At 44.1% G+C, this 26,609-nt stretch overlaps 1 protein-coding gene across 3 annotated transcripts in view, besides 3 other annotated features; it reads right to left on the minus strand.

The window, feature by feature from the left end:
• LAMB1 (laminin subunit beta 1) overlaps positions 1 to 26,609 on the minus strand; it is a 79,363-nt gene that overhangs the window by 19,910 nt on the left and 32,844 nt on the right. For all 3 annotated transcript variants that reach the window (NM_002291.3, XM_047420359.1, XM_047420360.1), the window contains exons 14-24: positions 20,844 to 20,979; positions 19,197 to 19,355; positions 17,841 to 17,968; positions 17,498 to 17,621; positions 16,737 to 16,941; positions 15,983 to 16,126; positions 15,541 to 15,772; positions 11,759 to 11,922; positions 9,822 to 10,046; positions 8,301 to 8,515; positions 7,518 to 7,614 (exon numbers count right to left, since the gene is read on the minus strand). In NM_002291.3, the coding sequence (NP_002282.2) occupies positions 7,518 to 7,614; positions 8,301 to 8,515; positions 9,822 to 10,046; positions 11,759 to 11,922; positions 15,541 to 15,772; positions 15,983 to 16,126; positions 16,737 to 16,941; positions 17,498 to 17,621; positions 17,841 to 17,968; positions 19,197 to 19,355; positions 20,844 to 20,979 (1,829 nt within the window). The remainder of the gene's footprint in view (positions 1 to 7,517; positions 7,615 to 8,300; positions 8,516 to 9,821; positions 10,047 to 11,758; positions 11,923 to 15,540; positions 15,773 to 15,982; positions 16,127 to 16,736; positions 16,942 to 17,497; positions 17,622 to 17,840; positions 17,969 to 19,196; positions 19,356 to 20,843; positions 20,980 to 26,609) is intronic.
• Positions 3,009 to 4,739: an enhancer, noted in NCBI's record as "VISTA enhancer hs2081". NCBI's record gives its function as "enhancer in: dorsal root ganglion[4/9] | limb[5/9] | trigeminal V (ganglion, cranial)[6/9] | cranial nerve[5/9]" and the evidence as "EXISTENCE:transgenic organism evidence [ECO:0001131][PMID:17130149]".
• Positions 9,766 to 10,309: an enhancer, noted in NCBI's record as "H3K27ac-H3K4me1 hESC enhancer chr7:107593919-107594462 (GRCh37/hg19 assembly coordinates)". NCBI's record gives its function as "activates a minimal SCP1, AML or CMV promoter by ChIP-STARR-seq in primed H9 embryonic stem cells {active_cell/tissue: H9 hESC(primed)}" and the evidence as "EXISTENCE:reporter gene assay evidence [ECO:0000049][PMID:30033119]".
• Positions 10,854 to 11,396: an enhancer, noted in NCBI's record as "H3K27ac-H3K4me1 hESC enhancer chr7:107595007-107595549 (GRCh37/hg19 assembly coordinates)". NCBI's record gives its function as "activates a minimal SCP1, AML or CMV promoter by ChIP-STARR-seq in naive H9 embryonic stem cells {active_cell/tissue: H9 hESC(naive)}" and the evidence as "EXISTENCE:reporter gene assay evidence [ECO:0000049][PMID:30033119]".

Raw genomic sequence — 26,609 nt, forward strand, 5'->3', positions numbered from 1 at the left:
TACTGATGTTCACAGTCACGCGACCCCGTTTTGTGGAGCACTGACTGTTACTTTCCCAGCTGTTTCTGCCCGCCTTCTGTATATTAGAGAAAAAAAGAGAGCATGTGCGTGTGTGTGTATCTGTGTGTCTGTGTGAGAGATGGAGAAAGAGATACCCTTCAAAAGGTGGAGCTGGAGCAGAATCACGACTTCGGAAGTTCAGCAATGTAGGCTGATGCACAAATCTCAGGACTTACGTAACAGAGGAAGAAGTGATGCCATTTGTAATAAAACTTACCTTGTCTACCAGCCAGTGGTCAGGGTGAGGCAGCCCTCTGGGGCCTACTCACCCATCTCCCTTAGACTTGACACAACTGAGGCAGAGTTGCATATGCTTATAGTTTGCTTAGACAATTATTTCTTTCCCATAGATGATGCAAAGGTATACCTTTGTTCAGTCCTAAACATTAGGTTTTTGCTGGATTCATGCTTGGGGCAAGGGATGCATGCATACGTTGATTTATTTTTAATTTCTGTGATCATTTTTCATTTATTTCGTTGCCAAAGACATGTCTTGCTCCCATTCTGTCATAGGCATCTTTAAGGGGAAAACAGCCCAACCCTGAAAGACTTAAAAGGCAGATAAGGCTTCCCTCTTTATCTGGCCGAGGGAAATTAGCCTGGGTAAGAGTTCCAATGAGCTAGCAGAGCTTCGGCTCTCTCCAGAAGTCAACAACCAGTTCAGCCAAACTGACCAACATTCCTTTCTCCCACCTGAAAAGTAAACCATCAAATCTCACAGATGACCGGATTGCAGTGTCATTATTGAAAAAGTTGGGCCTGACTCTCCGGGAGGGCACCAAATAACTAGTCTCAAATGTACCAGGTTTTGATTTCAAGCTGAAGCCCCTGGTCATGTGCTTCCTTCCCTGGCTATTGAATTTCCAGAATTGCTTCTCTTGGAGTCACCTAAGAGGCAGGCACCAGAAGGCCCACATTTTACAACCTTGTAAAAAGACCCCCTCCACTTCAAGAATATTTTCAGTGAAACTCCCACACTCACGTGGCTGAAGCAGAAAGGTCAGTTCACACTTGACAAGTTAGTAAAACTTCATGGACACTAATGTATGGAGGAGATTCTCCCATCATCTCACACACCCACCAGGATCTGAAAAACTGTGAACTGACTATTCAGGCTGCAGCTGATGAGGTCCAGTGGGCTCCTTCTCTCTTAAGAGAAAGGAATCAGAATCCAAATGACCTAGATAAAGCAGTCTTATTTTAAGAAATGGGATTACTTGGCAGAGAATCAGAAACTTTCTCTTGGAAAGGAGAGCATACATAGCAAAAGTTGTTGCCTAATCTTTAAGATGAACAAATCATGAAGATGAAGAATAGTATTTTTTAAATGAGATACTCATTTTAACAAGCCATAATAATTTGACTTTCATCTGTAAACACACTCTCTGTTCTGTGGCCAGTAGGCTTCCTCTATTTTTACTAAGTTTTCTTATCATTTCAAACATAATTGTTAAGAAGTAGGTAAATGAAAGCTATTGTACCGATTTTAAAGATACTAAGGTCCAGAGGAAAACACTAGCAAGTCAATGCCACAATGGGAAATAGTCTATGTACCCATTTATCACATAGACCTAACTTGCCTGCTTCCTTTACATCCTTCCCTCTCCTCCTCCAGACCTTCCTGTGCCCACTGAACAAAGTCTACCCTTAATGGCCCAGCACCGAAGGCTTCACACAATCTGGTGAAACCAAATCTCTCCATGACTCTCCAGCTGAGACTGTTTCCCGAGGGCACCTCCCAGAGCCATGCTGCTTCATGTTGTCTGTGTTGTCCTTTAGCTTGGATGATAATTTCCTCTCTAAATACCAGCTGTCAATGAGGAGCCCCCAGGCTTGTGGAAACAGCTGGGACACAGGGCCACATAGGCCTGGCTTCAGATCCCAGTTCTTTCCTCACTTTGGGCAAGTCCCTTAACCTCTCTGAGTCTGAGATTAGTCAAGTGTGAAATGGAGATGATACTTACCCCCATAGGTTCTTTGTTGCAAGGATAAAATTAAGAATACTTATATAATATGCCTAAAAGTGCTTGGCACTCAGCACGTTCTCTGTAGATGGCCACTAGAGCTAATCTTTTCTGCAAACCCTTCCCTAATGACTCCATTTCCTACTGATCTTGCCCTCTTCTGACAACTGAAAAGTTTGTGCCACTTACTTTCTGCTATCTTGTTACTTCATTTTATGTACCCCATGTCCCCAAATAGCCTGCAAGTGGCAGAACAGTATCAGCTGTTCTCTCTGTGTCCACTCCCCACTCTATACCATTGGTCACTCAGTACTGGGCTGATTATCCTCCTTTTTGTTGGAAACTTAAATTTGCCTTGGGACAGAGAAACTGCTACACCCTAAGATTCAGGTAATGGGGTTTTCTTCTGCCGTGGACCTTGCCTCAAAGCAACGTGGGACTCCAGGATCTGCTGCAATGCCAAGAATTTTACTGATACTTTACTTAGGCATTTCTATTTACTAAAAGCAAGGGCAATTTAAATAATTTTTATTTCTTACATGGGATTTTCTTTTTTCTGACATTCTCTTTTATCCTTTTCCCTTTTTGGCCTCAGTAATATAGGTTCAATTTTGGAATGAAAGTTGGGAGATGAATATAATTTTACCTGCAGAAATGAGCTGCCTGTCTAGCACAGGGGTCATCAAGTTTTAATGTAAAAGTTGAAATAGTAAATCCAGCTTTCAGGCCATTCTGTCTCTGTTATGATGACTTGACTCTGGCATTGCTGCCCACAAGTAGCCAGGGAAAATACATGAACAAGTGGGTGTAAAACTTATATTAGCTACTATCGGCAGGGGGCTGGATTTGGCCTCTGCCTGTGGTCTGCCCAGCTCTGGTCTAGCCTACCTCTTCTGAGAACACATTCTGTAATTAGGATTACATAAGACAAGACTTCACTCTACTGACAACAGTATTTATAGTTCTCTAAAGAATCGAATGAAGTCTGATTTTCTGAGTCACAATGGAAATATTAAGGTGGGTGGTTGTGAAAGAAATCCCAACATTAGAAAATACAGGCATTCTAAAGATTAATGTCTGGGCAAAAGAACACACTGTGTTTTTCTACTAAAAAACACAAAATGAGAAACGAGCATGATGGGGAAGTGGCCACTACCCGGACCCTCTTGCCTATGCCCCACATTTACCGTTTGCCTGGGTTTAGAGACACTGCCCTTTTCCAAGAGCCAGAGGCCCCAAATGGAAACTTTACCCTTCCTTTTTGCTATCTATGAATCAACAGAAAGATTCCTCCTGTGACTCTTTGACTCCTGAGGAGGACAATGCAGCGCTCCAGGCTGTTTTCTCCAGCACGTTCATGGTGGGTGGATGAGATTCCCTCTCCATCCCAGCACAGTGGTGGGCTTGTTCAGGCTTGGCACCATCGACCAACAGCCCCAACCCGCCTGGACAATAGGAACATTCAACAATCTGTAAGTTGGAGGCTCAACTCATTTGTCTTTTACATAACTACATTCTTTTTTTCCATAAGGAGAATACTTAGCTAGGACTTAAATCTTTCTATAAGCATATTGTTAGCTAGTTGGCATCAGAAAGTCTAAATTTATGCCCTCTAACAACCAATTCAACTGAAAACATATTTGTCAAGCAATTACATAACTGGAGAAAAGAGCTGATGTTCTTTTTGCATAGTTCCATCTAATTTTGAATGACACCTCTTCTTGTCCCTGCTGATCTCTGGGCCCATCCCTTCAGAAAGCCCCTGTGCTCCTGTTTCTAATCGTGAATGCATTCCAGCACAAACATAACCAAGAGCCTTGTCTGCCTCTGCATCTTGGCCCCTGCCTTCACAGGCCACACTGGTCCTACTCCTGTTGCCACCCTGTCTGCACCAGACCCCATAGCTGGCCATGAATCAATCCCCCATTGTCCACTCAAATCAATTCTCACTCTCTCTGGGTGCTTTGTAGGTTATGAGCTTTCTCCAAAGAGTGCTAAAAGCATTGAGGATCCGACACATTCTCTGTTTGACAGACTGCCTTAAGCACTGTGGGACATTTATTATTATTGGCTCCTGCATACCAAGTGCCTATAGCAATGACCCCATTATGGTGATGACCCAAAATACTCCCCTCCTCCCAAATTTCCAAATGTCCCCACCCCAGCTCAGCCACTGTGGGCACAAAGGAGAGACAGTATCTACTTTAACACCCCAAATAAAGATGCCCCAACATTTTATATCTTCTTCTTCTTTTTTTTTTTTTTTTTTTGAGACAGTCTTGCTCTGTCACCCAGGCTGGAGGGCAGTGGCACGATCTCTGCTCACTCACTGCAACCTCTGCCTCCTGGGTTCAAGCGATTCTCATGCCTCAGCCTCCCAAGTAGCTGGGATTATAGGTGTGCGCCATCTCACCTGATTAATTTTCGTATTTTTAGTAGAGATGGGGTTTCACCATGTTGGTCCGGCTGGTGTCGGACTCCTGACCTCAAGTGATCCGCCCGCCTTGGCCTCCCAAAGTGTTGGGATTACAGGCGTGAACCACCGTGCCCGGCTAACATTTTATAACTTTGAATTGCCAAAGTATGCAATGAGGTCAGTTGCCTTCACCCCAGATTTTAACACTTTGGGGAAAGGGGCTTTCTGGTCTTCCATGAAAAAAACAAAACTAAAGATAAGGTTGGAGAGATGACAATGTAGTGGGAAAACAAGGGGAAAATGAAACACCTGGATCTAGAACCTGGAAGTATCTCTTAGGGTATTTTCACTTATGCTCACTTGGAGCTTCCAATGCTTCCAGAGGGCTTGAAAAATACTTTTTCTTGCTGGTGTGAGCTGACTGGGTATCATTATTAGGGTCACGAATACGAATGATGTATACATATAAATGCAGAGAGGACTGGAAAGATTCCTATCAAGCTGAGTAAAAAGAGGAGTATACTGGGTGAGGAGATGAGAAGGGACTTTGTTTTCTTCTAATACAGGAGTACCAATTGCTTGAAGTGAATGTGGGCAGTCTGGCTCCAGGACCTACACTCTTGGCTATGGGACCTCTTCATCTGTCTGCATCCCTGCTGCCCTCGTGCCACCGGGATTGGCCAGCATAATAGGCAAACCATAAAGCCATGTGATCTTTGTAGTTCCTCCATTAACTAAATTTCTATGATTATCTTACAGAAAAAAAAAGGAAATGCCAAAGGGAGGAGTAAAAAGGAACAGACATATCCAGTTTCAATACATTCTCCTTAAACCAGGTTTCCTTGCAGAATACTTAGTTTCTGTTTTTTATCGGTTGTTTGCTTTTCCTGATGAAAAGTTTCTTACGTAATGAGCTGACCTTTCTTCTGGATGAAAGGAACAAAGAAGTTGGCGAACAATGATGCCATGAATCTCACTCTTTGCAGAGTTTCTAAAACAGGATCTAACTTTTGACCCAAACAAGTTGACAAGGTTTCTATAAGTCACAATTTCCCTGGCAGATTTAGAGGCGAAAGTTTAAAGAAAAGATAAAAGGGTAAGGAGTAAAGTTCTAAGGACCACATGAACAATTCTCTGATTGACTCTGACTCTGGGTAGCAGGCCTTTCCTGCTAACAAAGCTAAGATGGAGCCAAAGGTCAGAAAGCTTTGGCAGAGAAAGCTATTTTGCCAATGACACATGCTGACAGAATCAGGGTATGTGCAACGATAGAGCCATTATCTGGAAAAAATCAAGCCTTGGGGCATTACAAGTTTGAGGAATTTAACAGAGTAGTGATTAGAGCCCTGGAAAAAACAGATTTTAAGCAGAGTTTTACTTTCAAGAGACATCTTGGAGAAACTGGTCCACTGGATTTCAATACCTTCTAATGGAAGAGGGGATGTCAGATCTCATTAAGAACCAAATTTGGAGAATGATGAAAGAAAAGTACCTGTTTATTGACATAGCAAACATTATCCCCACTGTGAAACAAACCTTAATCTAAGAGGTCCATACAAACCCTTCTGGCTAAGCCTCAACTTAAAAAACAAATCATATCTAATTTGTTCTGGTCTTGCCCACTGACCTTTTTCTGCTGTTAAGGAACACATGGGTTTGCACCCTGAAGGAACACAGTTTCTAGGTTCCTGACCTTCTGTAGGAGATATTGAATGAGTTGCCAACTTGAAGATCTGTATTATTTCTTGCTGTAGTTGTGTCCAAAAAAAGAAAACGGTCATTTTAAAAATTTAAGAGTCCTGGCCAGGCACAGTGGCTCACACCTGTAATTCTAGAACTTTGGGAGGCCGAGGCGGGTGAATCATGAGGTCAGGAGTTTGAGACCAGCCTGACCAATATGGTGAAACCCCATCTCTACTAAAAATACAAAAATTAGCCGGGCGTGGTGGCGCTTGCCTGTAACTCCAGTTATTTGGGAGGCTGAGGCAGGAGAATCGCTTGAACCCAGGAGGTGGAGGTTGCAGTAAGCCGAGATTATGCCACTGCATTCCGGCCTAGGTGACAGAGCGAGACTCCGTCTCAAAAAAAAAAAAAATTCAAGAGTCCAACAGAGACCTATAATTTCAGATGTGCAACAAATATACGAAAGAGCACTTAAGAAACTACAGAAAATTTTTATCCATAATGATCAATTAAAAACAGGGAAGAAAATCAAGTAGGAAAGAAAGAATATAAAAACAGAGTTGCAACAGCCTATTCAGTCTTTTCCATATTTTGACTTTAAGATCTGAAAAATAATTTTCCAGGTCAAAAAAACTGCAATACCATAAAAATCAAGCAATCCTGATGATTCACATAATTTTAACAAGTTTTTGTTTGTAAGAAAATGTCATTTCCATCTTTTTTTGTTTGTTTGTTTAATCATAAGCTTAGGTGAAAATCTGGGTTTTATTCACATTAAACTGACTTGGAGCCCCTGACCTTGGAGCCCTTTGTTGTGCACGAAGTCTCCATGACATTGCCCTCCAGTTTTCACTGGTGGGGATGTTATCTTACACACATACGCCAAGAGCTTAAACTGTCAACAGAGTCTAGTTGATCCACTGAATCCAGTGATCTTACTAGGATAACCATTTACCTCTTCTTGTGCCATCAAGGAAGTTGGCCACAAAATACTGTTCAGAGGGGATAAAAAGTCACTTTGCCAAACATAGGGTTCACATGGTCCCACCTTGGTTAAAAGTATTTTAAAAAGCAGCTCTGTGTGTATTTGTGGTGTGTGTGTGTGTGTGTGTGTGTGTGTGTGTGTGTGTGCTTACACACAGAAACAAACTTTACCCCAGGGTGTGAGGCCGGGAGAGTATGCACATCCACTCTTGACTACCTATACTTATGGGCAGGGCTAGATTTGTTAGATTGTTTTTTAAACAATCAGTGTTAATTTATTTTGCAATTAAATACAGGTTCTTATAGACACGTTAATTTGTACTGTGTTTTATAATTTACAGAAGGCTCTTGTAGAACCCCAGTTCCCTCCACTCTCTGATCAAGTCAATGCGAGAACGCCCACAACTCACCTCGGCACTCCACGTCGGGGTCTCCCCAGAAGAGTTCCTGGCACTCGCTGCAGGTGCGGCCTCCAAACCCAGGCATGCACTGGCACTGCCCCGTGAACTGCGGCCAGAACACAGACCTTGGTCAAGCAGGCTTCAGGCCAGAAGCCAGTTGTCATCTTTTTTTTCTAGCTGCCACTTAGAAGTAGGAATGAACTGTTTACCTGAGAAGGTCTCCATTGACTAGGAAAAGGGACTCCCACTTCAATCGTAGGTGTCGAGAGCCCCATGCCAGCATCTAAGTGCTCTTTTGCAACAGGGCTTGGAAAGGTCTGTGGCATGTTATTATTTATTTACATATTTCCTCACTTTTATCCTCACAGATCAGCCACAATCCTGGGCCACCTTTGACTCGCCTGACTTAGGGAGTATGCCCTCCTTAGCATGTGTCAGGAAACAACAGCACTTTTTACAATGCTGGGTATGGCTAATTGGTTCCTTTCGAGAAGCTAAGAAAAGAGTCTGCTTCAGCGCCCAGGTACTGAAGAGAAATAGCACACCCTTGTCTATTGTTAAGTGAGTCTGCATCTGCAGCTGGGACCCTCTACTGAAATGCTATGGATGTGTCTGATGGGGACTCTGTGCACAGTTATGTAGACCCAGCCAAGGGGTACAAATGAGGGCTAAGATCCAGGCCACGCTGTGTTTCAAGCTGTGTGCCCTGGTGCCTTGCTCTAACTGGGGCAAAGTCACCATGGGCTGACACCTGAGCTCATAAAGGCATCATCCCCAGCAGCAGCCCCTCACCTCATTGCAAGATGGCCCGAAGGAATGAGCAGCATTGCAGTTGCATGGGTCACAGCCAGTGCCACTGGCCAGCTGCCAGGTATTGGGCGCACAGCGGTCACAGTTCTGCCCGATCACATTAGGAAGACACAAGCACTGACCAGTGGCTTTGTCGCACTGGCAGTCAGAGCCGTTACAGTGCTCTTGCACGGTGCCCAGGTAATTACAGACACACTCTGCAAAAGAACATCACATTTACTTATTGTCACACTCCCAAATACACAGGCATGCGGATGTTAGCCACATCTAAATGCTAAGATGTTCCCACTTCACATCTTGACCTTGAAATGCAAAGAAGGAAAGAAATGGAGGTGATTCAAAAATAAAGCTAAAATTACTGTTTAGAAGTTCTCGTGATTTCTTACACAGTTCTGACATTTCCCAGATACACACAATGACACATTTCACCTAAAAGTATGTTCAAAATACACAGATTTGACAAGATGCTGGTGAGTCATTTTAAAATTGAAGGCTTAACTGGAAATAATTTTAAAAAATGCCAGTGGGAATTGAGATATCTAATAATTTCAAACTCTTGGCAGAGAACAGCCGTAATAAACGTGTTGGACATAGCAGGTAAAAGCCCTTTAAGCTACTAAGGCTTTTAAGGAATCCAGTCCTGCTGGTCCCTAGCATTCCACACATGTTTGTATAAACAAAGCCAGGAGCCTGGGGGCTGTGCAGCTGCAGCAAGAGGAAATGCTAGTTGATCTCGGTAAGAGAGAAATAAAGAGGTCCAAAAGAGAGATGTTAGAGATGCTACTTCTTTCTCTTCCTTAAGCTGGAAGGCTCTATTCCATCAATGCCACTAGAAAAGGTGGGACCACAGTGGGTATTTAGGATTTCGAAGTCCATCCAACCAGCAAGTTCATGGGCAGAGCATACCATCAGTACCCTCTACTGGATGCCATTTATCATGGGGACAGCTACATGGTTTTTCTTTCCTGTTATCTCTCCCAGGCACTGAGTCACATCTTGAGACCTCACTCCTGCCAGAAAATGTGGATGTAAAGAAAAAAATAAAAATGACCAGGTGCAACGGCTCACGCCTGTAATCCCAGCACTTTGGAAGGCCGAGGCGGGTGGATCACCTGAGGTCAGGAGTTCGAGACCAACCTGACCAACATGGTGAAACCCCGTCTCTATTAAAAATACAAAAATTACCTGGGCATGGTGGGGGGTGCCTGCAATCCCACCTACTCGGGAGGCTGAGGCATGAGAATCACTTGAACTCTGGAGGCAGAGGTTATAGTGAGCTGAGATCATGCCACTGCACTCCAGCCTGGGTGATAGAGTGAGACTCTGTCTCATTAAAAAAAAAAAAAAAATTGGTCTCATCTTTCCTTAGTTGAAAGTGAAATTTTACCTCTCTGAACAAGTGTTTTCCCAAGTGAAATAAATACAGGAAGAATAAAATCTGCTGATAATGAAAAAAAGGTGGAAGTCATTCTAAGAAGTGGGCAGAATAAATGTGCATCTTACTTCGACAGTCCTGCTGGAGGGCATCACCATAGTATCCAAACCGGCAGAACTGACAGTGTTCCCCTTCCGTGTGGTACAGGCACTTGAGACACCTCCCAGTCTCCTTGTCACAGGCTTCTGGGTCTGTCGTGTCAATGTTGTTGTGACACTGGCAAGGCTGACACGACCCCCCAACTTCTGATGGATTGCCAAAGTATCCTGAGGCACAGTCGTCACATCTGGAACCTGTCACCCGATAAAACCAAACACAAGATGTTTAGCTTATTGACTGAAAGCTCACCAGTGCACCGACACTCATGCCTAGAGAGAGCTGATCGTGGCGGTGCTTCATCTTCACTGCACTGTTTAAAGAGCCCAGGGTGATCACATCTGAAGGGGAAAGAATAGGCTTTGAGTTGTGAGAGGAAGGCAGTATTACTTTCAGTGGCAAAAACCATAGTAACTTTTTGCACCAATCTAATGTTTTGTAGTCTCTAACAGTGTTGCAACTGCCCCAGAGGCCACAGCGGCTGTGGACAGTTAGGTCCTAGCACATGAGACTTTAGCTTCTGAGCACATGGGGGTGGAGCATGTTGGGAGCAAACTAACAATGTAAAGCATAGCTTCATGTAGAAATCCTAATCCAAGGATTACATTTTTTTAAGACATGGGGCCTTGCTTTATCACCCAGGTTGGAATGCAGTGACATGATAATAGCTCACTGCAGCCCTGAATTTCCGGGCTCAAGGAATTCTCCCACTTCAGCTTTCCCAGCAGCTGGGACTACAGGTTTGCGGCACTACACCTGACTAATTTTGTAAAATTTTTTTTTTTTTTTTTTTGGAGAGATGGTGTCTCGCCATCTTGCCCACGCTGGTCTCTTACTCCTGGGCTCAAGCAATCCTCCTGCCTCAGCCTCCCAAAGTGCTGGAACTACAAGCATGAGCCACCACACCCAGCCTAATTCAAGAATTACAGAAAGTGGGCTGGGCGCAGTGGCTCACGCCTGTAATCCCAGCACTTTGGGAGGCCGAGGTGGGTGGATCACGAAGTCAGGAGATCGAGACCATCCTGGCTAACATGGTGAAACCCCATCTCTACCAAAAATACAAAAACAAAATTAGCCAGGCGTGGTGGTGGGGCATGGTGGCAGGTGCCTGTAGCCCCAGCTACTCGGGAGGCTGAGGCTGGAGAATGGCGTGAACCTGGGAGGCGGAGCTTGCAGTGAGCCCAGATTGTGCCACTGCACTCCAGCCTGGGTGACAGAGTGAGACCCCGTCTCAAAAACAAAACAAAACAAAGAATTACAGAAACTGAAAAGTTACCACTCCTCTGTGAGCAACCTGAAAAATGGGATCTTTAATGATGACCAATTTCCCTAAGAAATTCTGAAATTATATGCAAAAAAATTTTACTGAGTTACATATAAACATAATCAGTATTTGTAACAGTGGCTTCAAGGATGAAATAAGAGGGAGTTTTTAACAACCCAGCTAGATTAATTGAATCTTGATAGATAATGTGAGTATCATTAACAGTGAAGAATATATTCGGCCATCTTGTGATTCCCTGGATGATATTATTTCTTTCTTCTGACTACTATTTGGTAACCTCACAGCTTTGAGATACTTTTGCTAGGAGTTGGATAAAGAAAGGCAGGAGTAAAACTTAAGTTAATCTTTCTAATGTTTAATAACAGAAAAGTGTTCCACAGGGTTTCTAGATTTCCACGAGCTTACTTTCCTGCTTTGTGTTATAACGTTCTTATCAGAGACTCAATATGAATTGACTCCACTCCATGTGCCAAATAGGAAAAGAGCATCTTTTCTAATTTTTAATTAAAAATTATAAAAGTAGACTTAATTGGTTCACTTTGCATCTTTTTTTCTCATTAACAATGAACTCATAAAGACATCTTTTTCTCTCTCTTTGCCTCCCAAAGTATGCACACGACTTACCAATGTATCCAGGATCACAAACACAGGCAAGCTGTAAAGTAACAGGATCTTGGTAGCAGCTCCTGGCAAACTGGCGTCCACTGTCGGGACCATCTGGGCAAGGGCAAGGGCGGCAGTGATCTCCTGACCCAATGATGGGGTCGCCATAGTAACCAGCCAAGCACCTGCATCAGTCACAGAAGAGAACAGGCCATGACCCCACAGTTCTAAGAAACCTGTTCCAAGGAAAGTCTTGAAAACTGTTCTGTTTGGGCACACTCTTCTCCACTCCTCATGTTTTCTTTGAGACAGAATCTTGCTCTGTCACCCAGGCTGGAGTGCAGTGGCACTATCTCAGCTCACTGTAACCTCTGTTTTTTGGGTTCAAGTGATTCTCCTGCCTCAGCCTCCCAAGTAGCTGGGACTACAGGCACACACCACCACACCTGGCTGTTTTTTTGTTTGTTTTTGAGATGGAGTCGCGCTCTGTTGCGCAGGCTGGAGTGCAGTGGCACGATCTCAGCACGCTGCAACCTCCACCTCCTGGTTCAAACAATTCTCCTGCCTCAGCCTCCCAGGTAGCTGGGATTATAGGCATGCACCACCATGCCCGGCTAATTTTTGTATTTTTAGTAGAGACAGGGTTTCACCATGTTGGCCAGGCTGGTCTTGAACTCCTGATCTCAGGTGATCCACCCACCTCAGCCTCCCAAAGTGCTGGGATTACAGGTGTGAGCCACCATACCCAGCCTAATTTTTATATTTTTAGTAGAGATGGGGTTTCACCATGTTGGTCAAGCTGGTCTCAAACTCCTGACCTCAGGTGATCTGCCCACCTCTCTTTATGTTTTCATGTGGAAGATTTACTATGGGAACAGTGGTTCTCAAACTTTAGCTTCAATCACAATCACCTGAAACAGATGACTGGGCTCCTCCCACCGAGTTTCTGATTCAGTAGGTCCCCGATAATATTGATGCTGCTGATCTAGGGATCCTACTTGCAGGACCACTGCGTTCGAGTGACACCCATGGCTTCATCTGGCCCCTCACTCACTGCTCCCCAGAGGAAGAGCCACCTCTCCCCATGTGCACTTGATTGTTCTATCAGCTGCCTGCCTGTCCTGACCATTCAGTTCTGCTCCCTCCTTGTATTACAGAGTCTGTCCTCCTAGGCGGGGCTTATACCTGTCAGCCTCTGCCTATGCCTGAGAGGGGTGATGTGTTGGCAAGCCCACGGTGGCCACAGGTCTAAAGCCATGTGCTATAACCCAGCTTTTCCCAGTACTGGAGCTGAGGGGGTGACAGGGGTGCTCTCCAGCTGTGTAGCCCCTGTGTTTGTCTCTCAGGTGGTTCCAAACTCAGGCAGGGATGGGTCATGTTACTTATTAATTCCCATATCCAACATGTCAATCCCACTCTTTAAAGATAACAAATACAGGGAGGTCAAAGGATTCTCAAAGTTTATACAACTAGTTAAATAATGAGCCAGAATTTGAATTTGGGGTCCTTAAAGCAATACATTCTTTTACTATGTTAGCCTGCTTGTCAAGGTGAATGGTAATTATGTTACTTTTTTATGTCCTACAACATAACATCTTGAAGGAACTTTGGAGACAATCTCATCCAACCTAGTTATTCTACTTATGAAAAGCTGGATATTCCGGCCAGGTGCGGTGGCTCACCCCTGTAATCCCAGCATTTTGGGAGGCTGCAGCGGGTGGATCACCTGAGGTTGGGAGTTTGAGACCAGCCTGGCCAACATGGTGAAACCCCATCTCCCTTAAAAATACAAAAGATTAGCCAGGCATGGTGGCCTGTGCCTGTAATCCCAGCTACTTGGGAGGCTGAGACAGGAGAATCACCTGAACCCAGGAGGCAGAGGTTGCAGTGAGCCAAGATCGCACCATTGCACTCCAGCCTGAGCAACAGAATGAGACTCCATCTCAAAACAAACAAACAACAACAACAACAAAAAGCCTGTAATCCCAGCTACTTGGGAGGCTGAGGCAGGAGAATTGCTTGAACCTGCGAGTCAGAGGTTGCAGTGAGCTGAGATTGCACCACTGTACTTCAGCCTGGGCAACAAGAGCAAAACTCCGTCTCAAAAAAATTTTCTAGAAGCTGGATATCCTAACTCACCCAAGGTTAGAAAGCAAGTTAGAAGCAGAATTGGGCCAGGAACTGAGGTCCAAGGATTTCCAATTCAATTTGTTTCTCAAGTCTTTTGGAGGCAATCCAAATACATCATGATAGAAACTGAGTGTTCATTTCTTGCCTCCCCTTGGGGACAATCTAAGTGTAGAGTTTTTTTGTAAATTCACAGGATTGAAACTCTGGTTATCTTGGAATGAGAAAAAAGAATGATGAGAAACTGGCTCAAACTAGATAGTAGAATTCCAAATACTTAAAATCAAGTGTTTGCCACCCAAACCTATTGTTAAAAATCTTCCTTCTCCCATACCCTTTCTCATTCTCAAAACCCTTTACAAATAAAATCCAAAGCTGGTCACAGATATCAACTATGCCATTCTGACATGATGTTCGTTCAAATGCATTCTACAGTGTGAGTGCTGATTCTGAATCAGCATTGTGGCAGCTCCCTTTGCTGTTTGCTTCTGTTCCCCCTCCTCTCTCTGCTCCCTGTTAATCTTTTTCTCATGTCTTTCTCTGTTTTCTCATATCTTTCTCTCGTACTTATTCTCCATCTCTCTTTGAAAAAACAATAATGGAAAACGGCTGAAAAGAAAAAGATGACCCCAAAATATTAATTTCCTCCTTTCACTGTTGTATAACTGTGTCCTTGCTATCTTTCTACAACACAATTTTAAGGTTGGAAGGGATAATTTTTATTCAAAGGGTAGTCCGTGGGACCTCCAAATTCTTGAGTACCGTTCTAGCATTGAGCCGAGAGCCACGTGTTTGCCTCCATGAACATCTTCATGCCAAAAGTTAATCACATACTCAGTTTTTCACTAACAATTTCTCTTTCACCTGATGAGTAACTTCACCACTGACTGAAGCACTTGCTGCAATGTTTCACAAGTGACTTTTAAAAACAAATATCTTCGATAGGGCGAATGGATGTTGGAAGAGAGAAAAATTATCACAGTGAAAAGGTGGAGACTATTACGCCCAAAAAGCCAGTTCTAACAGTACTGTCTGCATTTCTTAATTAGTAATAAACAGTGTAAGTCAGCAGGTAACTTTTTCATACGGAGTATTTTTTATCTATTGAGCTATCCTATTAATGTTATGGAGGTATATTCTCTCTCCTATTCTTACTCTACATCTAGCACATCCATAATGATTATTCAACTGACATTTGCTAACTGGAGAACAGATCTACTTAGGCATGTTTTATAGAGTCTCCTGGAAACTGTAGTTGCATAAAACGTTCTGAAAAACAAAGCTATTTAAAATGACTAATCCCATTTGGATTAGTTTCTCCTTTCGCCTAAATTAGGCAGGAGCATTTCACAACTCTTATCCTCCGCCAGAATCTGCTGAGACAGACAGAATTTCTATACAGCCCTATGGTAAGCTCTAGGGTGACTCGCCAAGAGGACGGATTCATGTCAGTTTTGTTCTCTGCGGTATCTCCAGCACCAGAACGGTGCCTGGCACATAGAGGATGTCAACTCAATATGTACTGGATAAACAAACAAGATCCTAGAAAATAGTGAGGTGGTCAGAAATGAATGAGCGAGCTGAAGCCTGGTGGAGATGAATTCTGTGGTTGGTCTAAGATGCTGTCTGCTCAGCCAGAGATCACTACATTCTCCTTACTTTCAGCATCTGCATACCTTTCACAGTTATGACCCATGGTGTAGTCCTGGCAGTTCAAGCACTCCCCAGTCACTGGGTCGCAGTCATCGGCGTGGCCATTGCACTGGCAGGGCTGGCAACTTGGAAAGCCCCAGTGCCCAGGTAAGCACCGATCACACTGCCGAGCATACACTCCCTGGAAACAGTGGCACTGGCCAGTGACGGGATTGCAGAAGGCATTGACAGATCCTTGCAGATGGCACTCACAAGCTAAAGAAACAGGCAAACAAGGAACTGCCTTGAGAAACTCATTCAATGGAAACATGCTCCTTTTATAAGCACCCTGTCCCCAATTCAGAATGCTCATGGGTTGGTGTGATCAACTTCAGGAGGGAAGCATCGGCTCTGCAGCAATGGAACCCTGCCACAATGGCTGAGTTAATCTGAATGAATGCATAACAATGCTTTTGAGGAACCTACGTTTGCATCCACTGGGGCCAAAGCCAAAAGTTCCAGGTGCACATCTGTTGCAGGTTCTTCCAACCACGTTGGGCCGGCACTGGCACTGGCCTCCGTTGGGATCACACACGGAACTTAACGAACCCTGAGGGTCGCATTCACAAGCTGTGGGTAAAGAGAGGCCAGAACCCATGACACGGAGCAGCACATCATCGGGCTCTCCCTGATCCTTTCTCCTTTAACTACTTTGGATTATTCAGAGTTCTGGTTTAAAACAGTATCATCCCTATGATGAGCGGAAGGGAAGAAAGGGGAGGCAGAGTTGGCAGATCAAAACAGTTTTTCTAGGCAGGAGGTCATTAATGTTTTCTCCCCTTGCCTTCAAAGCTCAAATATCACAGGACATTAGACCAAAGCCCAGTGACCTTCAGAGGATGGTCTGACGTTTCAAAGAGAAAAACATACATTTCAGGTATTTGATGCTTCTCTGATTCCATTCCCCTCTCCCTACCCTGCTTATGGAAATGCTTTATCCTCATGGACTTTTCCCCTGGTCACCTGTTATTTGCATATTTCTTGAATATCAATTCCATCTTCAGTGGTGCTCTTTCACTGAAATATTACTTAAAAAGATAAAGACAAACTGTAACTGAGACACTATTTCCCTTGTGCTGCCTAACACAGGGCTAGGGGGTGGGCACTCCACTGTACTTCATGTGCCAGATATACTCAGAGCCAGAAACAGCAGCTGCTGCAGCTGCCCAGCAATACCTACCCAGGCCTGTCTGGTGTAACAGGGCAGAAATGCTAAAGATGATGTTTCTGCAAACATCTGTCATCGGTGTTTTCACAACGCTTCTGCTGTTCTCTAGACATCGGTATCTCTGAAAGGTTTCCCAGGCACTGTTGGTGACCACCCCATCTCCTGAACCTCCCACGGTGAAGATGTCCAGTGATTTACAGTATGGCATGAGAACAAGCTGTGAAGAAATGAGAACGGCCAAACATCCTTACAGTGGTGCCCCATGGCATGGGTTTAAGCAAGCAAACGTGTAGAAAACCCAAATGCTTCTTTGACCCTTGAACAGAAATCATTAGACTCATTAAATAAAGTATAAACCTCCCTATTCCTAAATACTCTTGGCAGGAAATTTTAGATATGTTTTACACAGCTTGATGGCTTTTAAATGCTATTTATTTTTATTTTAGAGATGGGGTCTTGCTTTGTCGCCCAGGCTGGTCTTGAACTCCTGGCCTCAAATGATCCTCCTGCCTCAGCATCCCAAAGTGTTGGGATTACAGGTGTGAGTCACTACGCCTAGTGAAATGCTGTTTTTTTTAAAAGACATTTTATATTTTTAGAAGGAATAAATCCTTTCCATGGGGTGGAGTATAAGCAAAGTAACCGTGGAGGCAAGAAAGAATGATTCTGCTTACGCTGGCCTCAGCATTACCCCTCAACAAAACACCCTGAGAGCAGCTGGGCACTTTCCGCCCAGGCTTTCCTGCATATGCCAGAAGCAATCTCGCACTTACAGAATCGATCAGCGTGTAGGGGCTCTCCACGTCGCTATCAGAGGAGGTGTACTGAGGCAGCTCCAACCTCACCGTGTAGTTTGTTCCCTTCTCAAAGCACACCGGCCGAGGAAGGACGACATATCTGCCCCCAAACAAAAAAGAAAGACAACAACGAAAGTCAACCTTCATGCATCCAAAAAATAAAAATTAAAAACAAAGCTCTGCATCGATAATTCCAAAGGAAAAAAGTCAGCAGTCAACGTCTGGCTCTGAAATGGTGACTTGAAAACTCGCAAAATATTAGAAAAATACTAATTTGCATATGAAGCCCGTTGAGCTGCCAAACCACCGTCACACTGACCTTGAGCCTGGTGATAATGACACCACCTGGTTGTCATCATCGGGGATGGTATTACCACATCGGCTGCTGGTTGGAATCCTTCCAGGTCGCTGCACTGTGATGACAGCTTTTTCCCAGTGGTCGGGTAGCTAGAATAAGAAACAAACAATGAAAAGATAGTTAGCCCACCACTGCCTGTTTATAAAAAGACCTCTCTGAATCAATCAATTGCCAAGTTGAAATGGAAAACAAACAGTTGCTCTTCACTTTTCTCTTTACTACTACCTCTGCTACTCCCCTGGTTCCAGCCCAAATCCCTTCTGCCCTGGATGCTGAAACACCTCTCAACTGTTTTCTGCCTCTTCCCAATGTCCCTTTCAGTCCACTTTAAAGCAGCTCAGATAATGACAATCCCCTGCTTGAAATGCTTCAATAGCTTCCTGTGAATATTATAGTCCAAATTCCTTTACTAATCCTAGTATTTTTGCCAACAGCATCTCCAACCATATCTCTCATCAAGCTATGTGGAATGATTCTCAATAAAAACAAAACCCTCTCTTCTCTCTTCCACTCACACTATTTCTTACTTTTGTGCCAACTTTCCACAATTCCATTCACACTTTAAGGCCTAGCTCTGATTCTCTAGGAAAACGTTTTGGTAGCCCTGGCTCGGGCTGGCTGGTGCATGCCCATCTTCTAGGATCATGCATCTCTCTGCTGTTACACCGTCACCTTCAGTCTTTCGTTACAGTTCGGGGCTTCAGTCTGTCACTGCACAGCCAGGTTGTGAGGGAAGGAGAGGATCTCATACATCCTCATCACCACCTCAGTCGTCAGCAAGGTTGAGTGCCTCACAAAAGATCACTACGTTTGAGAAACTGGATTCAAGAAAATGGTACGTTTTGACTGGGTGTGGTGGCTCACGCCTGTAATCCCAGCACTTTGGGAGGCTGAGGCGGGCGAATCACCTGAGGTCAGGAGTTCAAGATCAGCCTGGCCAACATGGCGAAACCCCGTCTCTATTAAAAATACAAAAATTAGCTGGGCATGGTGGCGCATGCCTGTAATCCCAGCTACTCAGGAGGCTGAGGCAGGAGAATCGCTTGAACCCGGGAGGCGGAGATTGCAGTGAGCCGAGATGGCACCACTGCACTCCAGCCTGGACAACAGAGCGAGACTCAAAAAAAAAAAAAAAAAAGAAAGAAAGAAAATGGTACATTTATTTTAACTTCCATGGAGGAGGTGAGACTATAGGAATCTGATCTGTTCTAATGCAACCTCCATATTTCATAACTATATATAATACCCATTAGAAGTACTATTTTTCTACTGATTCTCCCCTCCCTCCTCCACCAGTCCACTAAGTGGTTTCTTTACCTGTGGCTCGTAGCGAATTAGGATGTCGTACTCCATGGAATATGGTATGTTGTCAATGAAAAACTCCAAATAAGCCCCTTCAGGCACTCGGACGAAGCCGGCTCCAGTCCAGGAGGGAATCCGGTCCTGGATATATTGCCGCTCCACTATGCTAACCCCCTGAGGGCATGGCAAACAATGGTTATTCTGTATTTGAAATGGAATTCAATAATTTTCAATAGTCAAAGTAATCCGAAGTCACCCAAAGATTCAAAAAGGGTGGCTACCTTATGTCTATTTTTTATAGTCAAATCTCCCCTAATAGATTGTAAAAAGTTTCTGATATCCAAACAGGAAACTGGTTTCTTTTTAGTTTTGTGGTTGGAGCAGTCTTGGGACACTGGATATAGCACTCAAAGGCTTGGGATATACCTTATTTGATATGACCAGGAGAGTAAGCATAAAAGAAAAAAGAGAACATCCCACATGCCGTTATAAGCAAGTCTAGGAATCATAAGGTGCTTCCCAGATTCTCCATAAGGTTAGTCCAGTATCTAGTGGATTTCTGTCTCTCATACTGGCATTAGTTTCAGGCTCCATTTTCAAGTGAAGAAACTTGATATAATGAATGTTCACAACTGATGAGTTAATTCTGATTAATTGTTTACAGGGTTATTTTTTAATACCTGTGGTTGGTCATATCCAAAAATGGCTGGGATCAACTCTTTCATTCCCTGTATGTATCTGTATGTACCCGTGTGTGGCCTTACCCATCAAGAGGTGCAAACTATGTTATCCTTTCCATGAATCCTTGTGACTTGTGACCAACAGAACCTGAGGAACTTTCTAGGACTTCTGAGTCCAAGCTTTCAGAGAGCTGGCAGCTTGTTTCCTCTTTTTGGAAGCTGGAAGCCATCTAAGAAATCTCACTATCGCCAGGCACAGTGGCTCACGCCTGTAATCCCAACACTTTGGGAGGCCAAGGCGGGCGGATCACCTGAGGTCGGGAGTTCGAGACCAGCCTGACCAACATGATGAAACCCCATCCCTACTAAAAATACAAAATTAGCCAGGCGTGGTGGCACATGCCTATAATCGAGCTACTCGGGAAGCTGAAGCAGGAGAATCGCTTCAACCCAGCAGGCGGAGGTTGTGGTGAGCTGAGATAGTGCCACTGCACTCCAGCCTGGGCAATAAGAGCGAAACTCAGTCTCGAAAAAAAGAAAAAAGAAAGGTCGTGTTCGTGTGGAGAGAAATGCCCAGCCAGCCTCCAGCTGTTTCAGCCACCCCAGCTCAAGAGCCAGGCATACATTTAAAGTCACTAAATTTGGGGATGAATAGATGAAAAAATATCCTTGCCTCAGTATTTACCATGCTAGGTTGATAACTTTGGAGCATAAGTAGAGAGAAGAAAAGTTTCTTGTAAAGACACATTTCTTAAACCAACCAAAAGCCTTATCAGTGAATGCTCCAAAGCCAATTTGTGAGTTATAGAATTACTTAGCTTTAAATATGACTCTTCTCAGGAAGGCATGGTCCTGATCCTTATTTTGTGCTCACTGACAAAGCTATAAAAATGCTTCTGAAATGGGGTCTTTACAAAGCATGTATGTTCCACTACACCCCAAAACACTGCTTTACCGACCTGCCACACACTCCCCTACTCACAGGCCCCAAGTTGGCTTCCTCCGCTTCATAGAGGTAGTGATCCAGGGTGGCAAAGTAGTAACCAGGTTCCACTTCGTTGCACTGACGTCCAATCATGTGAGGCCGGCATGAGCACTGGCCTGACTCCGCAAAGCAACTGGAAGGGAGGAGGAGCCACATCAGCTGAGTTCATGGTCACGCGAGTCAACCCGCCAGAAGCAGCTCTACAGCTGCCATTACTCAGTACACAGGACCAAATACATAGCATGTTCTTGTTTTCTTCAGAAAATACATATGTGGAAAAAAGTAGTGCCTATGGATTAATCCCAAACTCCAGAAGCGTGGCTGAGAACCTGGTCTTCTCGGTTTTACCTCCCTTGCCCTCTCTTGACTAACACGCCGTCCGCATCACATGAAGGTTTTCCACATCCCAAACCTTCTTGCTTTGGCATGTTACATCTTTTGCTTATTTCCTGAGATTTAGGCTCAAATATCCAGCTCCCTGAAGAACATCTCCAGCTTGGCTGTCCCAGAGCATCCCAAACCAACGGATCTAAGACAGAAGCCCTCAATCCCTCGGATGGTCTCTATCAGGGTGAAGGCACTACCACCTGCTGAGTCAACCAAGTCAGAAATTTAGTCCCCGTTCTTCTCCAGATTCTTTCTTCACACTCCATCAGGAACCAAATTCTGTGATTTTTACTTCTGCATCTTGTGTCTCTCTTCCCCCTTTCCATTGGCTATGCTATGCTAAATATAAGAAATGCGGCTGGGCACGGTGGCTCACGCCTGTAATCTCAGCACTTTGGGAGGCCGAGACAGGCGGATCACCTGAGGTTGGGAGTTCGAGACCAGCCTCACCAACATGGAGAAACCCCATCTCTACTAAAAATACAAAATTAGCTGGGCGTGGTGGCGCAGGCCTGTAATCCCAGATACTTGGGAGGCTGAGGCACGAGAATCGCTTGAACCCGGGAGGCAGAGGTTGAGGTGAGCTGAGATCACGCCATTGCACTCCAGCCTGGGCAACAAGAGTGAAACTTCTGTTCTCAGCTTATGTCCCTTTTATTAGTATCATAATTTTGTATACAATACAAAACTCAAATTACATGTATCCATTTTTACTTCACTTAAAGAAGAGCTGTGGTTTGGAATTGTTACTTTCAACTCATTCTCAAGGTTTGTTCTTTCTTTTTTTCTCATCCCAAAGTTTTAAACAAGGTACCTAAGGCAAGTTGCAACTCACAGGAACACTTTGCACTCACAGGCTTATTAAAAATGTCCCAAGGCCGGGTGCGCAGTGGCTCACGTCTATAATCCCACACTTTGGGAGGCCAAGGCAGGTGGATCACTTGCAGGAGTTTGAGACCAGCCTGGCCAACATGGTGAAACCCCGTCTCTACTGAAAATACAAAAAATTAGCCAGGTGTAGGGGCACACACCTGTAATCTCAGCTACTCGGGAGGCTGAGACAGGAGAATCACTTGAAACCAGGAGGTGGAAGTTGCAGTGAGCCGAGATCATGCCATTGCACTCCAGCCTGGGTGACAGAGTGAGACTTCATCTCAAAATAAATAAATAAATAAATAAAATCCTAAACGACCCTGCCGCAGCATAGCTGAAGTCCTCTTTTTGTGTATCATGTTGTTATCCTACAGGAATAGGAACTCTTTTTATTATTATTATTTTTTTATTTTTGAGATGGAGTCTCGCACTGTCGCCCACGCTGGAGTACAGTGGAACGATCTCGGTTCACTGCAACCTCCGCCTCTTGGGTTCAAGCGATTCTCCCACCTCAGCCTCCTGAGTAGCTGGGACTATAGGCGACTGCCACCATGCCTGGCTAATTTTTGTATTTTTAGTAGAGACAGGGTTTCACCATATTGGCCAGGCTGGTCTCAATCTCCTGACCTCGTGATCCATCTGCTTCGGTCTCCCAAAGTGCTGGGATTACAGGTGTAAGCCACCACGCCCAGCCAGGAATAGGAATTCTTAACGTCCCATAGCCAATTCCCAAGAAAGGAAAGCTTGTTCCAATTAGGACCTAGCCTTCTTTTGGCACAGTCCATGAACAAAAGCTATTTTCAGAAATTCAGGCATCAGACATTACATCATATGGACAAAAGAAAATTCTTTCCTCCCCAGATGTTTACTGAGACAACAAATATCCAAAACATGAACCACCAAAGAAGAAAACAACTAGACCTTCACATGCAACCATTAGAGAACGAGCAAATGAAGGTGAGGACAAAGGCGCCAGCAGGCTCCCGGTGCTGCCTCTATCTGCAGCACAATTCTAAACAAGGAATGGCTCCATGAGAGCTGATCATGTGAAAGGAATTCCCTTAACAGCGGCCCTGCCAATCACAAGTCTGTGTCCACAGGCTTGAATTGTCATCACAGATAGGCATGGCTCTGATTCAACACTGGCTCCTTCAGTGAACTCATTCTTGTGGCTTTCCTATGCAGATGGCCCTCACCCTACAGCTCTCAGCACCCAGCAGGTGGCTGGGCTCTGCTTCTCTATTTCCAGCCATCAATGGGACATTTCCATGGACTGGCCAGCTGTCATCTCTAATTCATCTTGTCCCAAACAGATCATCACCACCCACACTGACTTCTTATCCTCAGCTCTGCTGTTTCTGCCAGTAGATTTAAAATTCTTCTCATGGTATAGGTGAGACATCACCTTCTCTTTCCTTTATCCCAATACTCAGCTTTTACTTCAAAATGTTTCTCAACTTAGCAGCTTCCTCTCATTGTCACTGCCACTGCCACTGCGTCAGTCCAGGATGGCATCACCCCATACCTGTTACTCTAACAATCTCCTAAACTGACCTCTCAAATTCTTCTTCCTCTTCTGCCTAGTCCATCCTGTCTACCACGGGCCAACCGATCTTCCTACAGTGCTGCTTTCATTGTTTCACGAAAACCCACAATTGTTTCTTATGATATCAAGCCATGATGCCTCTGCCTGGCTTTCTGCAGCCTCCATAACCCATCCTCTGAAAACGGCTTCTCTTTCTGGTGCCGACTCTTTGCTTTCCAATGAGCCACACTCCTCATACTCTTCAGCAAATATTTACTGATCAAATATTGGCCCTAGCAGCCTTGCTTCCCAGTGCAGGTATTCTCACATTTTAGTCCATTGTGAACTTTGTTCTGAATGAATCCTTACTTCCTCACTAAGTCTATTATTTCTGGCTAAATGATATACAGAAAGAGAAATAGAAAAAAAAATAGTCCCTGTCTTCAAGAACTTACAGTCTAATTGGGGATAAACAATAAAGAAATTAACCAATGCAACAAATCAAAATGCAGTAAGAACCTATGCATTGATAGAGTTACAAGCAAAGCACTAAGGGAGAAGAAGATATGATTCATCTGATTGAGAAGACTGAGGGAGGCGTCATGAAAGAGGTGTCCTTAAAGCCTGGAGAGGACTTGACAGGCAGAGAGAGGACAGGAATAACAGGAGCAAAGAGGGTGATGGGGGAATGTGGGCAGAGATGGTCAAGATCAGACCAGATCTCGACCTTGCTACAGTCATTCCCATCTCTGTGCCTTTACCCATCTTTTCCCTCCCAGCTCGGAGGCCCTCCCCTGCTCACTAATCGCACCTTTCAAATCTCAGCTTTCAAAACTCAAGCACAAATCCTGGCTTCTTCACAGTGATACCAATGATTTATTACATGTAATTACTCTCTCCTGTGTTCAAGTAAAAATCAAATCTGATAGAAATGGCACATCTTAGATTCTTATGTATTCTCTACAAATTTCTCTGTAAACTAGAGATTCAATTTCATTAAATCAGTAAGGGAGAATAAGGACATAAAATAAATAAGGCCTGTGTGAGGCAGAATAATGGCCCCCAAAGATGTCCACATCCTCATCCCTGTTATCTGTGGGATGTTACCTCATATGGCAAAAGGAACTTTGCAGATGTGATTAAGGGTAAGGACATCAAGATGGAGCGATTATTGGATGATCTGGGTGGGTCCAATCTAATCACATAAATTCTTAAAAGTGGGAGAGGCAGGCAGGGAAGTAAGTAGGTCAGAGAGCTGTGACATAAGAAGGATTTGACCCAGTGGTACCTTTGAAGATGGAGAGAGGGGACCATGAGTCAAGGAATGTGGGCAGCTCTAGAGGACAAGAATAGCCCTTAGATGACAGCCAGCAAAAGAAGGGGAACCTCAGCCTACGACTGCAAGGAGCAGAATCCTGCCAACAACCCAAATTAGCTGGAAACAGATTCTCCTTTAGAGCCTTAGAAAACAATGCAGCCCTACCAACATCGTGATTTTGGTCCACTGAGACTGTATTTGACACATAGAACTGGAAAATAATAAACTTATATTGTTTTAAACAACCAAATTGTGGTAATTTGTTATGGCAGCAATAGAAAACTGATACAGGCTCTATGTTTTCTCAGTGGGTGAAGGCCAAGATTATTTCTTAAAAAAATACATTTATGGCTGGGTGTGGTGGCTCACGCCTGTAATCCCAGCACTTTGGGAGTCCGAGGCGAGCGGATCAAGAGGTCAGGAGATTGAGACCATCCTGGCTAACACGGTGAAACCCCATCTCCACTAAAAATACAAAAAATTAGCCGGGCATGGTGGCAGGTGCCTGTAGTCCCAGCTACTTGGGAGGCTGAGGCGGGAGAATGGCATGAACCTGGGATGCGGAGCTTGCAGTGAGCCAAGATCGCGCCACTGCACTCCAGCCTGGGCGACAGAGCGAGACTCCGTCTCAAAAAAAAAAAAAAAAAATCATAAATATAGAAATTGGCAACATTTAAAAATTCCATTTCATTTAAATGGTGGTGAATAAAGAAAATGGAATTTTAACATTTCCCTATTACTAAGGAATTAGGCAGAAAAATATTAAAGCATAAAAAACATCATTCATAATAACCAACCACAGTGTTCCGTCAGCACCATTCATTTTCTCAGGGTGGCATTCCTCCCCACCCCCAACTAGGACACTTTCTTTTTGGTAAGACCTACGTCCTATAATCCTGTTCTATCACAGTATAGTCATGTGTCACTTAATGACTGGGATATGTTCTGAGAAATGTGTTGTTCGCCAATTTTGTTGTTGTGTGACCATCATAGTGTACTTACACAAACCTAGATGGTATAGCTTACTACACACCCAGGCTGTAGAGTATAGCCTATTGCTCCTAAGCTACAAACCTGTACAGCATATTACTGTATTGAATACCATAGGCAATTGTAACACAATGACAAGAACTTGTGTATTCAACCATATCAAAATGTAGAAAAGCTACAGTAAAAATACAGTATCTTATGGGACCACCGTTGTATGTGTGGTCCATCCTTGACTGAAATGTTATTATGCAGTACATGATTATAATTAACAAAGGGTTAGCTACACCATAGTCATTCAATACAATGATAAAAATATCTACTAACTTCCGTTCTGGATTCGAAGTACAATAAATTTTAGTCCCTCATTTATTGAGTACCTGCCAGGTCCACCGTGCTGGGTGCCAAGTGAGATGCAAAAACAAAGATGACATAATCTCTGTCCAAAGAGACCTTTTTAACACAACTATAAGAGCAAAATAAATGCTAAAAGAGATGCAGAAGCAATGCATCAAGGGAGGGTTCGGGGCTTCACCACGGTGAGTTCAAAAAAGAGGTGGGGCCAGGCATGGTGGCTCATGCCTATAATCCCAGCACATTGGGAGCCTGAGGCAGACAGATCACTTGAGGGTCAGAAGTTCAAGACCAGCCTGACCAACATGGTGAAACCCCG

Source organism: Homo sapiens, chromosome 7, assembly GCF_000001405.40.
Source record: "Homo sapiens chromosome 7, GRCh38.p14 Primary Assembly".
Taxonomy (NCBI): Eukaryota; Metazoa; Chordata; class Mammalia; order Primates; family Hominidae; genus Homo; species Homo sapiens.